The sequence below is a fragment of the Homo sapiens genome, chromosome 1, assembly GCF_000001405.40.
Source record: "Homo sapiens chromosome 1, GRCh38.p14 Primary Assembly".
In the NCBI taxonomy this organism is placed as follows: domain Eukaryota; kingdom Metazoa; phylum Chordata; class Mammalia; order Primates; family Hominidae; genus Homo; species Homo sapiens.
Window position 1 is genome coordinate 225,520,331 of NC_000001.11, and position 13,610 is coordinate 225,533,940.

The 13,610-nt window shown below is 37.3% G+C and overlaps 1 protein-coding gene across 35 annotated transcripts in view; it reads right to left on the bottom strand.

Moving 5' to 3' along the window:
- Positions 1 to 13,610, bottom strand: part of ENAH (ENAH actin regulator) — a 167,050-nt gene that overhangs the window by 33,502 nt on the left and 119,938 nt on the right. For 26 of the 35 annotated variants that reach the window (XM_017001752.2, XM_047424938.1, XM_017001751.2 and 23 more), the window contains one exon: positions 10,224 to 10,308. In XM_017001752.2, coding sequence (XP_016857241.1) covers positions 10,224 to 10,308 — 85 coding nt within the window. Of the gene's footprint in view, positions 1 to 10,223; positions 10,309 to 10,715; positions 10,728 to 13,610 lie in introns of all 35 variants that reach the window. The other 9 variants (XM_047424935.1, XM_017001750.2, XM_017001747.2 and 6 more) reach the window with 1 other exon arrangement.

Genomic DNA, 13,610 nt, shown 5'->3' on the forward strand with positions numbered 1-13,610 from the left:
CAAGAAAGAAGAAATAAACTTTAAATGATTGAAATCTCATATCCAGAGGCAACTATCATCAACATATGTATATAAAGACACACATCTATATATACACATACGCGCACACACGCACCCCTATATACCTCTAGACTTCCCCTTGTGTAAAAATACACATATAAACTTTAAAAACAAAATAAAATGTAACCATTTCCCGCTACTGTGAAATCTGCTTTCCTTTCTCTCACTTAATATATTGTGAAAGTTGGTCTGGGAGCAGTGGCTCAGCTGTAATCCTAGCACTTTGGGAGGCTGAGTGGGAGGATTGTCTGAACCCAAGAGTTCAAGATGGGCCTGCACAACAAAGCAAGACCCATCTCTACAAAAAATTTTAAAATCAGCCAGGCATGGTGCCATGCACCTGTATTCCCAGCTACTTGGGAGGCTGAGGGAGAAGGATTGCTTGGGCCTAGGAGTCTGAGGCTACAGTAAGATAAGATTGCATCATCACACATCAGCCCAGGCAACAGAATGACACCTTGTCTCCAAAAACAATGAAAGAAAAGAAAGGAGGAAGCGGGGAAGGAAGAAAAAGAAGGGAAGGAAGGGAGGAAGGGAGGGAGGGAGGGAGGGAGGGAGGGAGGGAGGGAGGGAGGGAGGGAGGGAGACATAAGTTAGTAAAACTGAGGATATCTGGGATGAGAACCTGCCTGTGTGTACAACTCTGGATGGACACACGCACGCGCGCGCACACACACACAGAGTTATCCTAAGGCACTTAGTTCAGCATCTTTATTTTCCATGAGTGCATAATAATATTCGATTATTTTGCTGTCCACAGTCTAAGCAGTCTCCTACAGTAGGATATTAAGTTATCCTAACACTATTGGCAATACTGCAATAACATTTGTCTTCATCTTTGAATCTTTTTCTGTTTCTATAGGATCAATAAGGACATAAATTTTGCTAGGTGAAAAGGTATGAATTTAAGATTTTTGATACATGGTTCCAAATTGTCTTTAGGAAAAGTTGTGTCAATTAACCTTCCCTAAAAAAAAAGTTATCTTTGCCAGGCACGGTGGCTCATGCCTGTAATCCCAGCACTTTGGGAGGCCGAGGTCAGGAGTTTGAGACTAGCTTGGCCAACATGGTGGAACCCTGTCTCTACTAAAATTACAAAAATTAGCTGGGCGTGGTGGTGTGCGCCTGTAATCCCAGCTACTTGGGAGGCTGAGGCAGGAGGATCACTTGAACCCGGGGAATGGAGGTGGCTGTGAGCTGAGACTATGCCCCTGTACCCCAGCCTGGGTGACAGAGTAAGACCCTGTCTCCAAAAAAAAAAAAAAAAAAGTATCTTTATCTTACACATACGTATTTCATAGCACTGTGGGGAAGATTAAATGAAGTAATACCTAAAAGCTCTTTAAGAAGTACTTGAAACATAAGAACGTTCAATGTGGGCTATAACGATAGTTTTTTTGTTTTGTTTTGTTTTTTCTTCCCCGAGACAGAGTCTTGCTCTGTCGCCCAGGCTGGAGTACAGCCATGCAATCTTGGCTCACTGCAAGCTCCACCTCCCAGGTTCACACCATTCTCTTGCCTCAGCCTCCCGAGTAGCTGGGACTACAGGTGCCCGCCACCATGCCCGGCTAATTTTTTGTATTTTTAGTAGAGACGGGGTTTCACAGTGTTAGCCAGGATGGTCTCGATCTCCTGACCTCATGATCCACCCGCCTTGGCCTCCCAAAGTGCTGGGATTACAGGTGTGAGCCACCGCGCCCGGCCCAACAATAGTTATTATTTGGAAATTTCAAATTGGGACTTTCTGGACTGGCTAATAAACTGGGTGGGTCTAGTTAGAGACAAAGCTAAATGACAGCACATGCATGCTATCCCTTTGTTCCTTCCAGCGGTACCAACACACCAGTAAGATCTTTCCAAAAATCTCTCTCCTTCATGTTTCCTAAGCTGGCTATACAACAAAAGAAAAGGCCCATTTGACAAATACATCAACCCCACTGCTCTCATAAAACACACACCCTCTCCTGGACATACCATCACACTTAACAATGACTGCAAGAGAAAAACACAAGAAACTGACTTTATTTATGAGTAGTTATTTATTTATGAGTAGTTGTTTGAGATACTGACTACTAATAAAATCAGATTTTCAGGATCTAGTACGGACTTCATTATGCTATTTGATAAATCACTAGCTGCCAAAGTTTTTGAGGGATAACAATAACTTTATCTGCAGGGATGAGGGGAAGAAATTAGATGTATTCAAAAGAATGTTTTTAATAATAAACAGAGGAAAGTCAGGGTTGGTTGTTGTTGTTTCTCCAGTAACCTGCAGTTAATAAACTCAGCTGGAGCCTGTATTAAATTTCAGATAATTCAACCTACATCAAAAAATATGGGCCATTTTACATATAATGCTCTAAGCAATCTGTTGGGCCCAAAGGGCAAAAGATACACCCATATTATTCTAATTAGAACAAATTTAAATACAGAAGCTAAAGAGAAACATTTAAGAGCACAGTAGCTGTCCCAAGAAATCTATGATGAAAAGATCTAAGTTTTTAGATCTTTGAGCATTTGTTACTTCTTCTATTTTACCAAAACAACATAAATATATAGTTTTTAAAGTTTATAACAAAAATCAGTAGTTCACTGCCTCAACCCTCCCACCCGTTTCCTACTCTTGCAGCTGTTTCTTACATTTTAGCTTTTGCTATCTACTTTCTAACAGGAAGATGCCTTCTACAACTCCCTCACTACACTCATGCTTCTCCCAATATGGAAAATCAATATTCACAGCTTACATTATTAACATGATAATGTAAATACTGCTCACAGCTGAACCAAATAGTATTCTATGACTACATTTCATTTCTCATTCAAGTTCTTAGTAGTTGGGTTTTTTTTTAACCACCAAGTTAATGGCTGTTTCTCTAAGCAATACAATGCTTTTAACACACAAAAAGTAAGCTTAAGTCACAAGCAGAAGGCCAGGCATGGGTGAGGTGAATCTGAAAGAATTATTGGTAACAGCATTTACAGCTAGGTTGTATTGACTTAAGAAGTTTGTTCCACATGTCATCATATTCCAGGGTTTTCAGGCTATAAAAGATAAGGAGTGTCTACTGATATAGGAAAAGGACACAATGCTGGAGAATATTTCTAAGTTCACAGACAGATGATTCAAGCAGGCAATTCATATAGCTGCAGGAGATTCTTACTATTTTCTTGTTCTGAAGGTAAGAAAAGAAAGTGTTGAACACTTTAAGCTAATTTTTAGCTTGCTTGCTGAAAAGATGCCCATCTAAACGGATTTCCCAAAATAGTGATTCAAGCAGAAAATCTCTGGCTTCCGAATCTTGTGTGGCATGAATAATTCCCACCTAAATTGGATGGTTTATAAATTTGACTCTCATGTTTTGACCTCTAAAGCAAGACATTTGTGTAGCTTTCTAGGAGGAGTTTCCAAATTTATAAACTTTGCTTTTCCTCAGAATTATCGCTGCCAATTCACATACTGGAAATGCACATGGCTCCTCTTCCTAGAGTTCTCTCTCCAACTGTTTTCTTCAGTCATTAATAGAATCGTCTGAGGACTTTTTTCAAAGAAAGAGTGCCTTAATTCTGAACCATGAAAAATCCTGACGGACTACTTTAATTTTTCTTTTAAGCTAGGCATATATATTCTACAATAATTTGAAAGTTTCTGAGAATATAAATTTTTTTCAGAAACAATTATAGTGCAAATCACCAATATTATTTTTTAAGCATTTAAAAAATATCAGACACAGTTCCTCCACCACCCAAATACCTATTTCTCTCCAAAACAGCTATCCCCAAATGTAAATAGATGCACAAAGCATCAGCCCACATTGAGATTAATAGCTTTTTAAATATATATTCATTATTTAGTTTATGTTGACTCAAAGACATTTCTTGAAGCAAGTAAAATGTTAAGTAACATCAGTTCAAAATACATTTCACCCAGCTTTACCTATAATGAATAGTGTTACTAGGTAAATAAGAATGATTTCAATTTTAACAAAATGAAGTAGGAACAGTCTAGGAAAAATGTTCTGAGTTGGTAATATTTAGTAACACTGTTATTATTGACATTTCTCAGAAAATAAAACTACACAGATACAGTTTGATTGTATAACATGAGCATTTCACTTCACTATCAGTAAACAAATAAAAAATGGATAAAATGTAATAAGACAGCTAAGTTTTAATATTACAAAGCCGCTGAGGCAAGAGTTGATACTCACAAGAGAAGGCGGTCAACTTTTGGTCCATCCGGCCTCCGAAGGCCAATAGGAGGGCTATACACTCTCATTGTTCCAACATTGTTCCAACTGCTCAGTTCTGTGCCGCAATTATTATTCCCCTTTTATAACTTTCAGATAGTACTGGTGATTTGCGAACTATTTATAGATATTAACTATATTAAGGTTCTATGTGGAGACTAACATAGGACTGACTCATGTTTCTTAGAATATGTTTCCTCATCATGGCCAAGCCAAATATTAATTATATGAGTAGGAACCAAAAACTATTTAATAAATGATATAATAATAAAGGGTATTGGACTAATAAGAATGAACACTTAGACATGTGCTCTATTGACTCTACATTTATTAAAAATAAAAAATTAAACATAACAGTAGTAATAAATAACTTAAAAAGCCAAATTATATTATAAGACTTAGAACAGTAATCCTCTTACTAACGCTCACCACTTCTGATTTTGCTCCCCAGAAGCAATTATTTTCAATACTCTGGTACTTATCACATGTTTCTAAATACAGTAATTCATTTAGAACTATTACTTCTAGACTTTTCATATTTAGATGTTATCTACTGACTTCCTACTATACAAATGATTTAATTCCTATATCTCTAGCTCCCCAAAACTTTTTCTTCTCCATTTTCCCAATAAACTCATACCACCACTTTGGATACACCAATATTCACATATCACATAATTCACTGCTGATCACATTTACTTTCTAGAACAATTTTTTTCTTACTTTGGTGCTAAAAAGTAGTACTTTTAAAAATTTGATTCTTTTTCTATATACCTGTCCCTACTTCACCCCAAACTCTCCATTAGAACTGTAATCCCTATCAACATGGTCCAACATAGCAGAACCACGGTCAGGTTTTTCTATTCTTTTGTTTTGCTTTCCCTCAGAAACTACCCGTCGGGAGCCTTCAGCCCTCCCAGCGCCCCCAACCGGATGGGCTATTCCCTAGGTTTTGCTTTGACCTTAGTCGTGCGGGAATTACCTATCTCTTTCCTAAGTTGGATTCCTTGTCTCCTGGATGCTGTCATGGGTTCATCATTCTTGCTTTACTCCCTCATCTTAACAGAACACATCTTCCAATAGCTTCTTAGGAAGTTGTGCAGAAGAGGAGATTTTAGACTGGAAAGAGATTCTCTTAGGATTTTGAAGCTCCCCCACCTTGTCACTCCCACCACCCCTTACCAAGCATTTGAAATCTTACTTATTCTAGGACAACATTCTAAAATACCATAGTGAGAGGTCTTGGTGGGAGGTCTTTGTTTTTTTCCCCACTTACTGGGCTGGACTTTTGGTGAGCTTTTTTGACCTAAACCAGAAGCTAGCAAACTGTATACAGCCCTAGGGCCAAATCTGGCTACAACCATTTATTTCCGTTTTGTCTATGGCGAGCTACAAAGGAAGAGTCTAGCAAATGACACAGATGGCCCTTCCCAGAAAAAGTTTGCGGACCTTTGATCTAGACGATCAATGAGTTCCAGCAAATTTTCTTGTTATTTATTTGCAAATTCAATTTCTTCACGTTTTTGTTCTCCTTCCCACTCCCCCAGAACTTCTATTATTTGGATGCTGAACCTTCTAATCTGATCTTCTTACTTTACTTTCTTTCTCATATGCCACCTCTTTGTTTTAGGACTATTTTCAGAGAATAAATTCCTCAACCTTAGTTCTCAAAACTTCTATTTCTTTCTTTCTCTCTCTCTCTTTTTTTTTTTTTTCTTTTGAGACAGAATCTTGCTCTGTCGCCAGGCTGGGGTGCAATGGCACGATCTCAGCTCATTGCGACCTTGGCCTCCCGGGTTCAAGCGATTCTTCTGCCTCAGCCTCTCAAGTAGCTGGAACTACAGGTGCATGCCACCAGGCCTGGCTAATTTTTGCATTTTTAGTAGAGACCGGGTTTCACCATATTGGCCAGGCTGGTCTTTAACTCCTAACCTCGTGATCTGCCCACCTCAGCCTCCCAAAGTGCTGGGATTATGTAAGCCACAGCACACGCCCTTCTATTTCTCGGCGGGGAAAAAAACAGTGAGGTGGTTTTTAAAAAAAGTTTCCAAGTTTACTTTCTTGTTCTCTGAATGATCCATTTAAAATAACTACCCATTTTTATTTCATCAATGAAATATATTCTCCTAGTTCTCTGAAGCTATTGCAGTATATTTTTAGGTTTTCTTCCGCTCCCTGCATTGCATCTATTTCATACAATTTCAACTCTTTGTTTTGGTCCTTCTTTTATAGAAGTTGGCCTGAAAGGTTTGATGATCCTTGGCTGTCTGTTCATATTTATAAGCAGCACCAAAGTTGATCAGAGGCCCTTAAGTAAATGAGCTTCACTGGCAAGGACGAGTGTCAACATCTCTGTCTTCTCTTGGCCATGGCAATTTTCCCACAGAGGAATCTTAGTTTCTTGCTGGGCTCTACAGGTCTGGCTGCCAGCGTCTAGGAGCTGAGCAAGGGAAAGAAGCCAAGTTGGCCAACTTTCACCTAATCCCTCTTTTCATTTGGCACCTCACCCACATCCTCACAGCTGTGAATTTATAATGCAAACTGATAATGTTTTTCACTACACGTTCCAGTAATAGTATAGAAAAAGGCCAGTTAAACAGCCAAAGTTAACAGGACAATTTCACTCAACTTATGAAGTAAAAAGTTGGCCTGAGGGTATTTTATTGTGCCTCTGAAGATTAAATCAAGTTTTAAAAAATGATTTTTATATAAATAACCACATGAAATAAATTTTGGAAATATAATTTCTACTGGGAACCAAACTTCACACTAGACTGTGCTATACATCCTTCCCGTTTGCTAGCCTACACAACCAGATCCAGCCATGCACTACTGTCAGCTGAGAGAAAGTGAAAACCAGTACTAAGTGTCTATATAAATATTTAGTAGATATTTTAGAGTTTTGTAGTATCTTTTTCCAAGTATGGTTTAACCACAGGCAAAAACAGATTGTACGGGATATATGTCAAAGAAAAATGACAAATATCTCTTTTATAATTGTATATAAGGCCCTTACAAGGTGGACACAACCTCATCTAACCATACCACTGGTCCTGGAGGGGGAAGGAGGAAGCGTACTCACATTGCACGTGTGTTTGCATCGCCTTGCCTTTACACACCTACTCTTTCTTCCTGGAATGCTTTTCCCTTCTATGACTGGAAACTCCTACTTTATTGCCTCTTTAGGCACAGCTCAAAGAGCACCTCCTCCGTGAACCTCCCACCAACTCCCAAAAAACACAGAAAATCCTAGGCAGCAAGAAAAGAGTGTGTTATCTTAATCAACTCAACAACCTTCCTAGGTAATGTCTTCCCTAGCACCTGGGAAGTCTCTAAAAGGCCATTTACCAGCTAAACATCAGTAATTTCTCCTCTAAACCCATAGGCAAAAGTGAAGAAAATTACCACATTAAAGGTCAAATATATACTTTCTGTCTTATACCCCAAAACCTGCATATAAATTAATTCAGTACCAGAAACTTCTTAACTTTTTATTAGAAATTTTATTGAGGTTTCTACTCTCAAATTAGCCCATAATGTTCACTGTGGAGGTAATACTCAAATGTAAAATAAACACGTAGGAAGAAAATACAAAACACTGTGTGATTAAGTTACAGGAATTCAGAAAACAAGAACATCAGTGTGCCTGGAGAAGAGTCTACAGAAAATGACAACGTAGAAAGGATATGAGAAGGACATGTCAGAAGAGGTGAATGCTACACACAAACACAGAGCGAAAGATGAGTATGGTGTACACAGAGACAGTCATGAGGGGGTGAAACACAAACATGGGGTGAGTTCCTAAATGCCAGGCCAAAGAAGTAAACTGATGTGAGGAGAGGCAGCCATAAGGAATGCTGAGCAGGGAGATGACAAGACAGGAGTGTCTGGACTCTTATTCGGGTTGGTAGATTGAGGAGTCCTGTAATCTTCCCCAAAATTCTACTAAAATTCCAGAAACATCATTAAAATGCATATAAATAAACCCATGACCAAGTAGAAAACTGAAGGTGGTGGTCATTAGTAGGGCAAATTTATCATGAGATTTCCGGAAGACAGAAAGGGTAGGAGTTATATGTTTAGAATTCTTCCTTAGTCTCCTAGAGACTAATATTCAACATCTCTACTTACATGTCCAGTAAAAATCTCAACCAAACATCCTCAAAATTCATTTTTGACATCCCCCAACAAGACCTGCTCTACGCAGTCTTTCACAACTATTGATGGCAACTCCATCCTTCCCACTAGCTTAGCCTAAAAACCTCAACCCCTCTCCTTCCCTCATCCCCACCATACAATCCACCAAGACATATAAGGATCTGACTTCTCAACAACCACTTCTATCACCTGGGGGAAGCCACCATTATCTCCTGCCTAGTTCACTGCAACAGCCTCTTAACTGGCTTTCTTGTTGAGCTGCTGTCACAACACTGCACCTGCCTCAAGTCGTCTCTCAATAGTGTAGGCTCAACAGAGCAGACTGACTGATTCTGCTAAAATTTTAAGTCAGATCATGCCTATGTTCAAAACTGTACAATGGTTCTCCTTTCTCTCAGAGTAAAGGTTAAATTCTTCACAGTAGCCTGCAAGGTCCTGCATGATCTGACCTCTACTCCTAATACTCTCTTGTGCTCCAGCCTCCACGGCCTCCTTGTTTTCCCATGTACACACAAGCATCATCCTTCCTTAAGGCCTCTGCACAGAATGCACTTACATAGGTATCTGCTTGGTTAATTCCTTCTTTTCATCTCAATGAGATCTACCCTGACCACTCTATTTAAACTCACAAGTACTGAGACTGATAAGTAATGGACGGAAAAATAAAATAAAATTACAACCAGCACTTCCCTCTGCCCCTTCACAACATATAATCCTCCTTACTCTGTTGCATTTTTCCCCATAGCACTTACCATCTTCTACTATACCATGTCATGTTTATTGTCTGATGAGTTTCAGGCTTTTTGTTCCCTCCACTCTCCCCACCCTTCCCAATATAAGTACTTAGAACAAAAAATGCCTGTGACATAAATAAATGGAGCAGTGGAGGCATCCATAACCCAGAACACATACTGAAGACGGTCAAAGCAGACATGGGAAGAGGAATCTGGGAAAGATCTAACCTGAGGTCAGCAGGTAGAGAGAACGGGAATGAGCAGTGCCACAATAATCAAGCTGATTAATAAGTATATACACTGTCTGAAGAACAGCTGTACCAGCTCCTCCCCTGTCCTCCCCAACCCCAGCTCAATGGATGGAATGGCATTTACCACAGAAGACTGTTCTCTAAAGAAACTGAACAAGCTGCCTCAGATGAGTTGGGGCTTCCAGTGGAACTTTTAGTAGCTCAGCGTTTGTGCGGTTCTGAGGCCTGCCTGCTCACCATCCTGGTACTCCAAAGGTTAGCCTGTCAGCCTACGTACTCTGACCACTTTCAGAGAACTCCTAGTCATGGAAGAATGCTGCCCAGTAGAGAATGATTTTGTATTCTACTACTAAACCCTATAGTAATATCTGAAGATCAATGTGTTACAGAAACAGCCAACAATATTTCAACTTTTTAGTTAAATTTGTCACATGAAAATCATAGTACTCACAGATCACTTTATAATTACAAAAGTAAGACTTCTTGAACCATAAGAAGATTTTGAATTCTGTTAAGCGTATTTACAATATTTTAAACATACCTTAAGTATAATTTTTACAAAAAAAAACACATATGAAATTTTATAACATCTCATGTCCAGCATAACAAGTATCTGGTAACTTACTAATGACAGTCACAAAACTTACTAATGTAAGAATAAAAGTTGTGACTCTTAAACAGCTGATAAGACATAATCTACTTTAAACACAGGATGTTCAGTTTTGTCTTCTGAAGCATAAAGAAAAAGTACAAACAATAACTTGAAAATTTACCTTCTTTGAATTTCCAATTCTTCTTGGGATGGGCCATTTTGAACTTGAGCAGGTAGTTGTGAGTTTTGTCTAGGCAATGTTGGCCCTACAGAGGGAGAAAACATTACAGATGAACATTATTTTCATATCTAGCTGGACAGAGGAGATAAAATCATGAGAATAACATAAAACCATCACATATTTACAAACGTGTCTTCTTTTTGTCTAGCAAAATAAAATATAAGCTTTACATAACACAGAGCAAATGAAAGACTGCAACATAATACTGTCATCATCTCCAGAAGGCTTACTTGAAACAAATGGAAAACATCAACAATAAGGAAAAAGAAACATTTATATATGAAGAGCTTGAGTAAAACAAGTGTTCGATGAGCATCTGAAGAGGCACCTAAGCTTGACAGTTTCTAAGACAATGAGACATTCTCTTTGGGGTAATTATTCATGAAGTGGAGAGGGAGAACTTAAATGAAAAATCAGAATTCAAAAACTCACCTAAATAGAACACTGGAAATGAAAAACAGGAGAGAGAGAGAGCATGAGAACCTTATTACTAGACTCCAGTATGCTAAAGCATTTATCAAATTTGCCCAATTTAAGCTGCCATTTTTGTCTAATAGCCTAGCATTTCCAGCACTGGTGAAAACAAACATTTGCTAAACTTCCATATAGTAATTAACCTACTGAACTGAATTTTTAATGTAACAGGTAATTTTAAGTTTTCATTTAGGGTAAGAAGAAAAAAAAACTTGCATTCATACAACATGGTTCTGTCATGAGACACTAATGACCATCCATTCCCACATATCATGTACAATGCAGACCTGTTTTTTGCATCTTAGATAGAATGCCACTGAATTATGGGACATCTTAATGTCATTGGATATAAAAATCAAATCTGTCACAAAATGAGATAAATACTGGACCTAATATATAATACCTAGGGTTAAAATAGAACAATCTTAAAGTCTAATCCAGTAAACAAGAAAGTAAAGAAACAGTAGTTATCTTCCACTCTTGGAGAAGAATATATGAGTAATGACACACTACATATATTTGTGAATTCTAGTGTACCAGCAAATGCTCCTAACAGATATTCTGAAAGATTTGTAGACAACTTAGGAAAATAAGTTACGAAATAAATGCTTCTGTGCACTAAATTCTTGTAATCTATGGGCTAATTGTGCAAAGTATTTTATACTAGTGGAGTAGATTTCACAACCGGAAGTAAAGATTTATTAGGATGTAATGCAGTACTGGTGTATCCCAAGTGTGGAAAAACAGAATTAATTTGATCTGAACTTACCTACTAACTTTTTTTCTCACCTCTTTACAAATGTTTTTAGATTAATCACTTTATTTGTCCTCTAAAGACAAATTGATGACAACTGCAGTGATATATTTCATTAGATTTCCTAAGAGTCTGCTATTTTGAGAACCAAATAAATATTATAAAAAAAAATTAATCCCATGTAATCAATAACAAAAAAAAACAAAACTTTTGAAATTAAATACACACGTAAATGTTTGTATAAATGAAAATACATGATTGCTGTCTAGTAAACAGACTAGAATTCTTTTCTTGGGAAATTAAAATAATGATGTAAAAACAGACTCTCCTATTAGGCTATACACAAATGTTTAATACTTTACAGAGAAAAGACCTCTCTTCTGGGGACACACAAGTGTGGGGAGGGGCGGGTAAATCTGAGGTAGCATGAAATTATTTAGGGAATGTACTTTATATATCCAAAGTACTAAATGTGAGCATTTAGCATGGGCAACTCACAAGACCATTATGTTTTAACTATTTTTTAAAATAATGTTTACTTGAGTATTTAAGTTGAAAGCCTCAGGCTGCTTAAATAATGAAACAGCTGAATGTGAGTAGGTTAGACCTGTTTGGCATCTACCTCAAAGAAGAATGCAATTATACCAGTCACACACCTAGGACAGGTGTTATATATCAAAGGTAATATTAATGGATTAAATTTGCCAATTAAAATCTCAGTTTTAATTCAAATATATAGATTCAAAAAAGACGTCAAAATTTCAACTCAATCCTATTTATTTTATTTAACAGGTTTTTAAAAAACTAACACAAGTTTAATGTAACTCACAAAAGCTGAGAAAAGAAAATCTTTTAGCAATTTACAGAACCTGCTTTGGAATATTTTTTTAAAGCTTTTTAAAAGCTTACTAAGCAAATCTGTTCAGAAAGGAGATTTTTAAAATGTGGGTAATATTTTGTGGCTGTTATCATAATTATAAAAAAAATTTACTACAGTTTATTCCTGCAGCTGAGATGAAAAGCTTCAAGGAAGTTCCTTTTAAAATGGGGAGAATTTTGATCCTAGAACAACTCTTAACAATTCTTTTCTACATGGTTCTTTGTGATGATAATGGATTTTTGGGCTTTTTGTCTTTCCAGACATCCTTTAAATTGGGTGTGTGTGTGTGTCCGTGCATGGAATCACTCCCTTTGGCACTTTTTCACATCTACATTTAATCTGGTTGTTCTGTTTGTTTCTTCTTCAAATTGTCAGGTTGCAGTAACTAGCACATTGAAATTTATGTGCATTTAAAAATTAATACAAACATACTATAAACATTAAAAGTTCCAGGTAAATATAAATTTAAGGTACACAATTACATTTTTCCTTCTTGTCAAACATTCTAATGGGCTATAAAATTGGTAAGTAATACCAAAGGCACCCCACATGACATGAAGCAGCAACTAGGATCAGGCAAAGTCTGTCAGCTGCCGCTGTATGTTCAGGAATATAAACATTACTTTACACAGGTCACATTCCTAAATGAGTGTGTTCTCATAAAATGCAAAATAGGTACTTTCATAACCATTTCAGTGGGAAAATGACAATATTTTATGAGCATCATGTGGTGGTTAACAGCCCTTTGGGGAGGGGAAAAAGAGGGAAGAACAACCAAGGTTAAGAAACTAGTGAACCTGCTTTGCTCTTTCTATGTTATCATAAAGAATAGCAGCTGTTTGAGAGTTTGTTCTCTCCCTCACAGCCAAAGATAGTGGCTGATCTTAATTTGTCCTGGCTACAAGAAGAAGGTATATAGCAAAGTCTGTGAGTTACTGTTTGTAACAGAGAAATGTGGCAATGTCACTGATACAGTACCCTATAAATGATTAAAATCAGATCAGGAGACTCTATAATAGGAACTGTATGTCAGTCTTGCCTTCAATATTGAGTTTTGGTTAAAGCACATTCCACTTACTGTCACATTTTAATTTTCACAAATCTATTTTCACAATTAGCCACAGACTATTTAAAAACACAGGACTAAAAGACAAATCGGTGTTATTATATACACAATACAATCAAGTTTAAACTTAGCAACGTGTTAATTATATTGTTT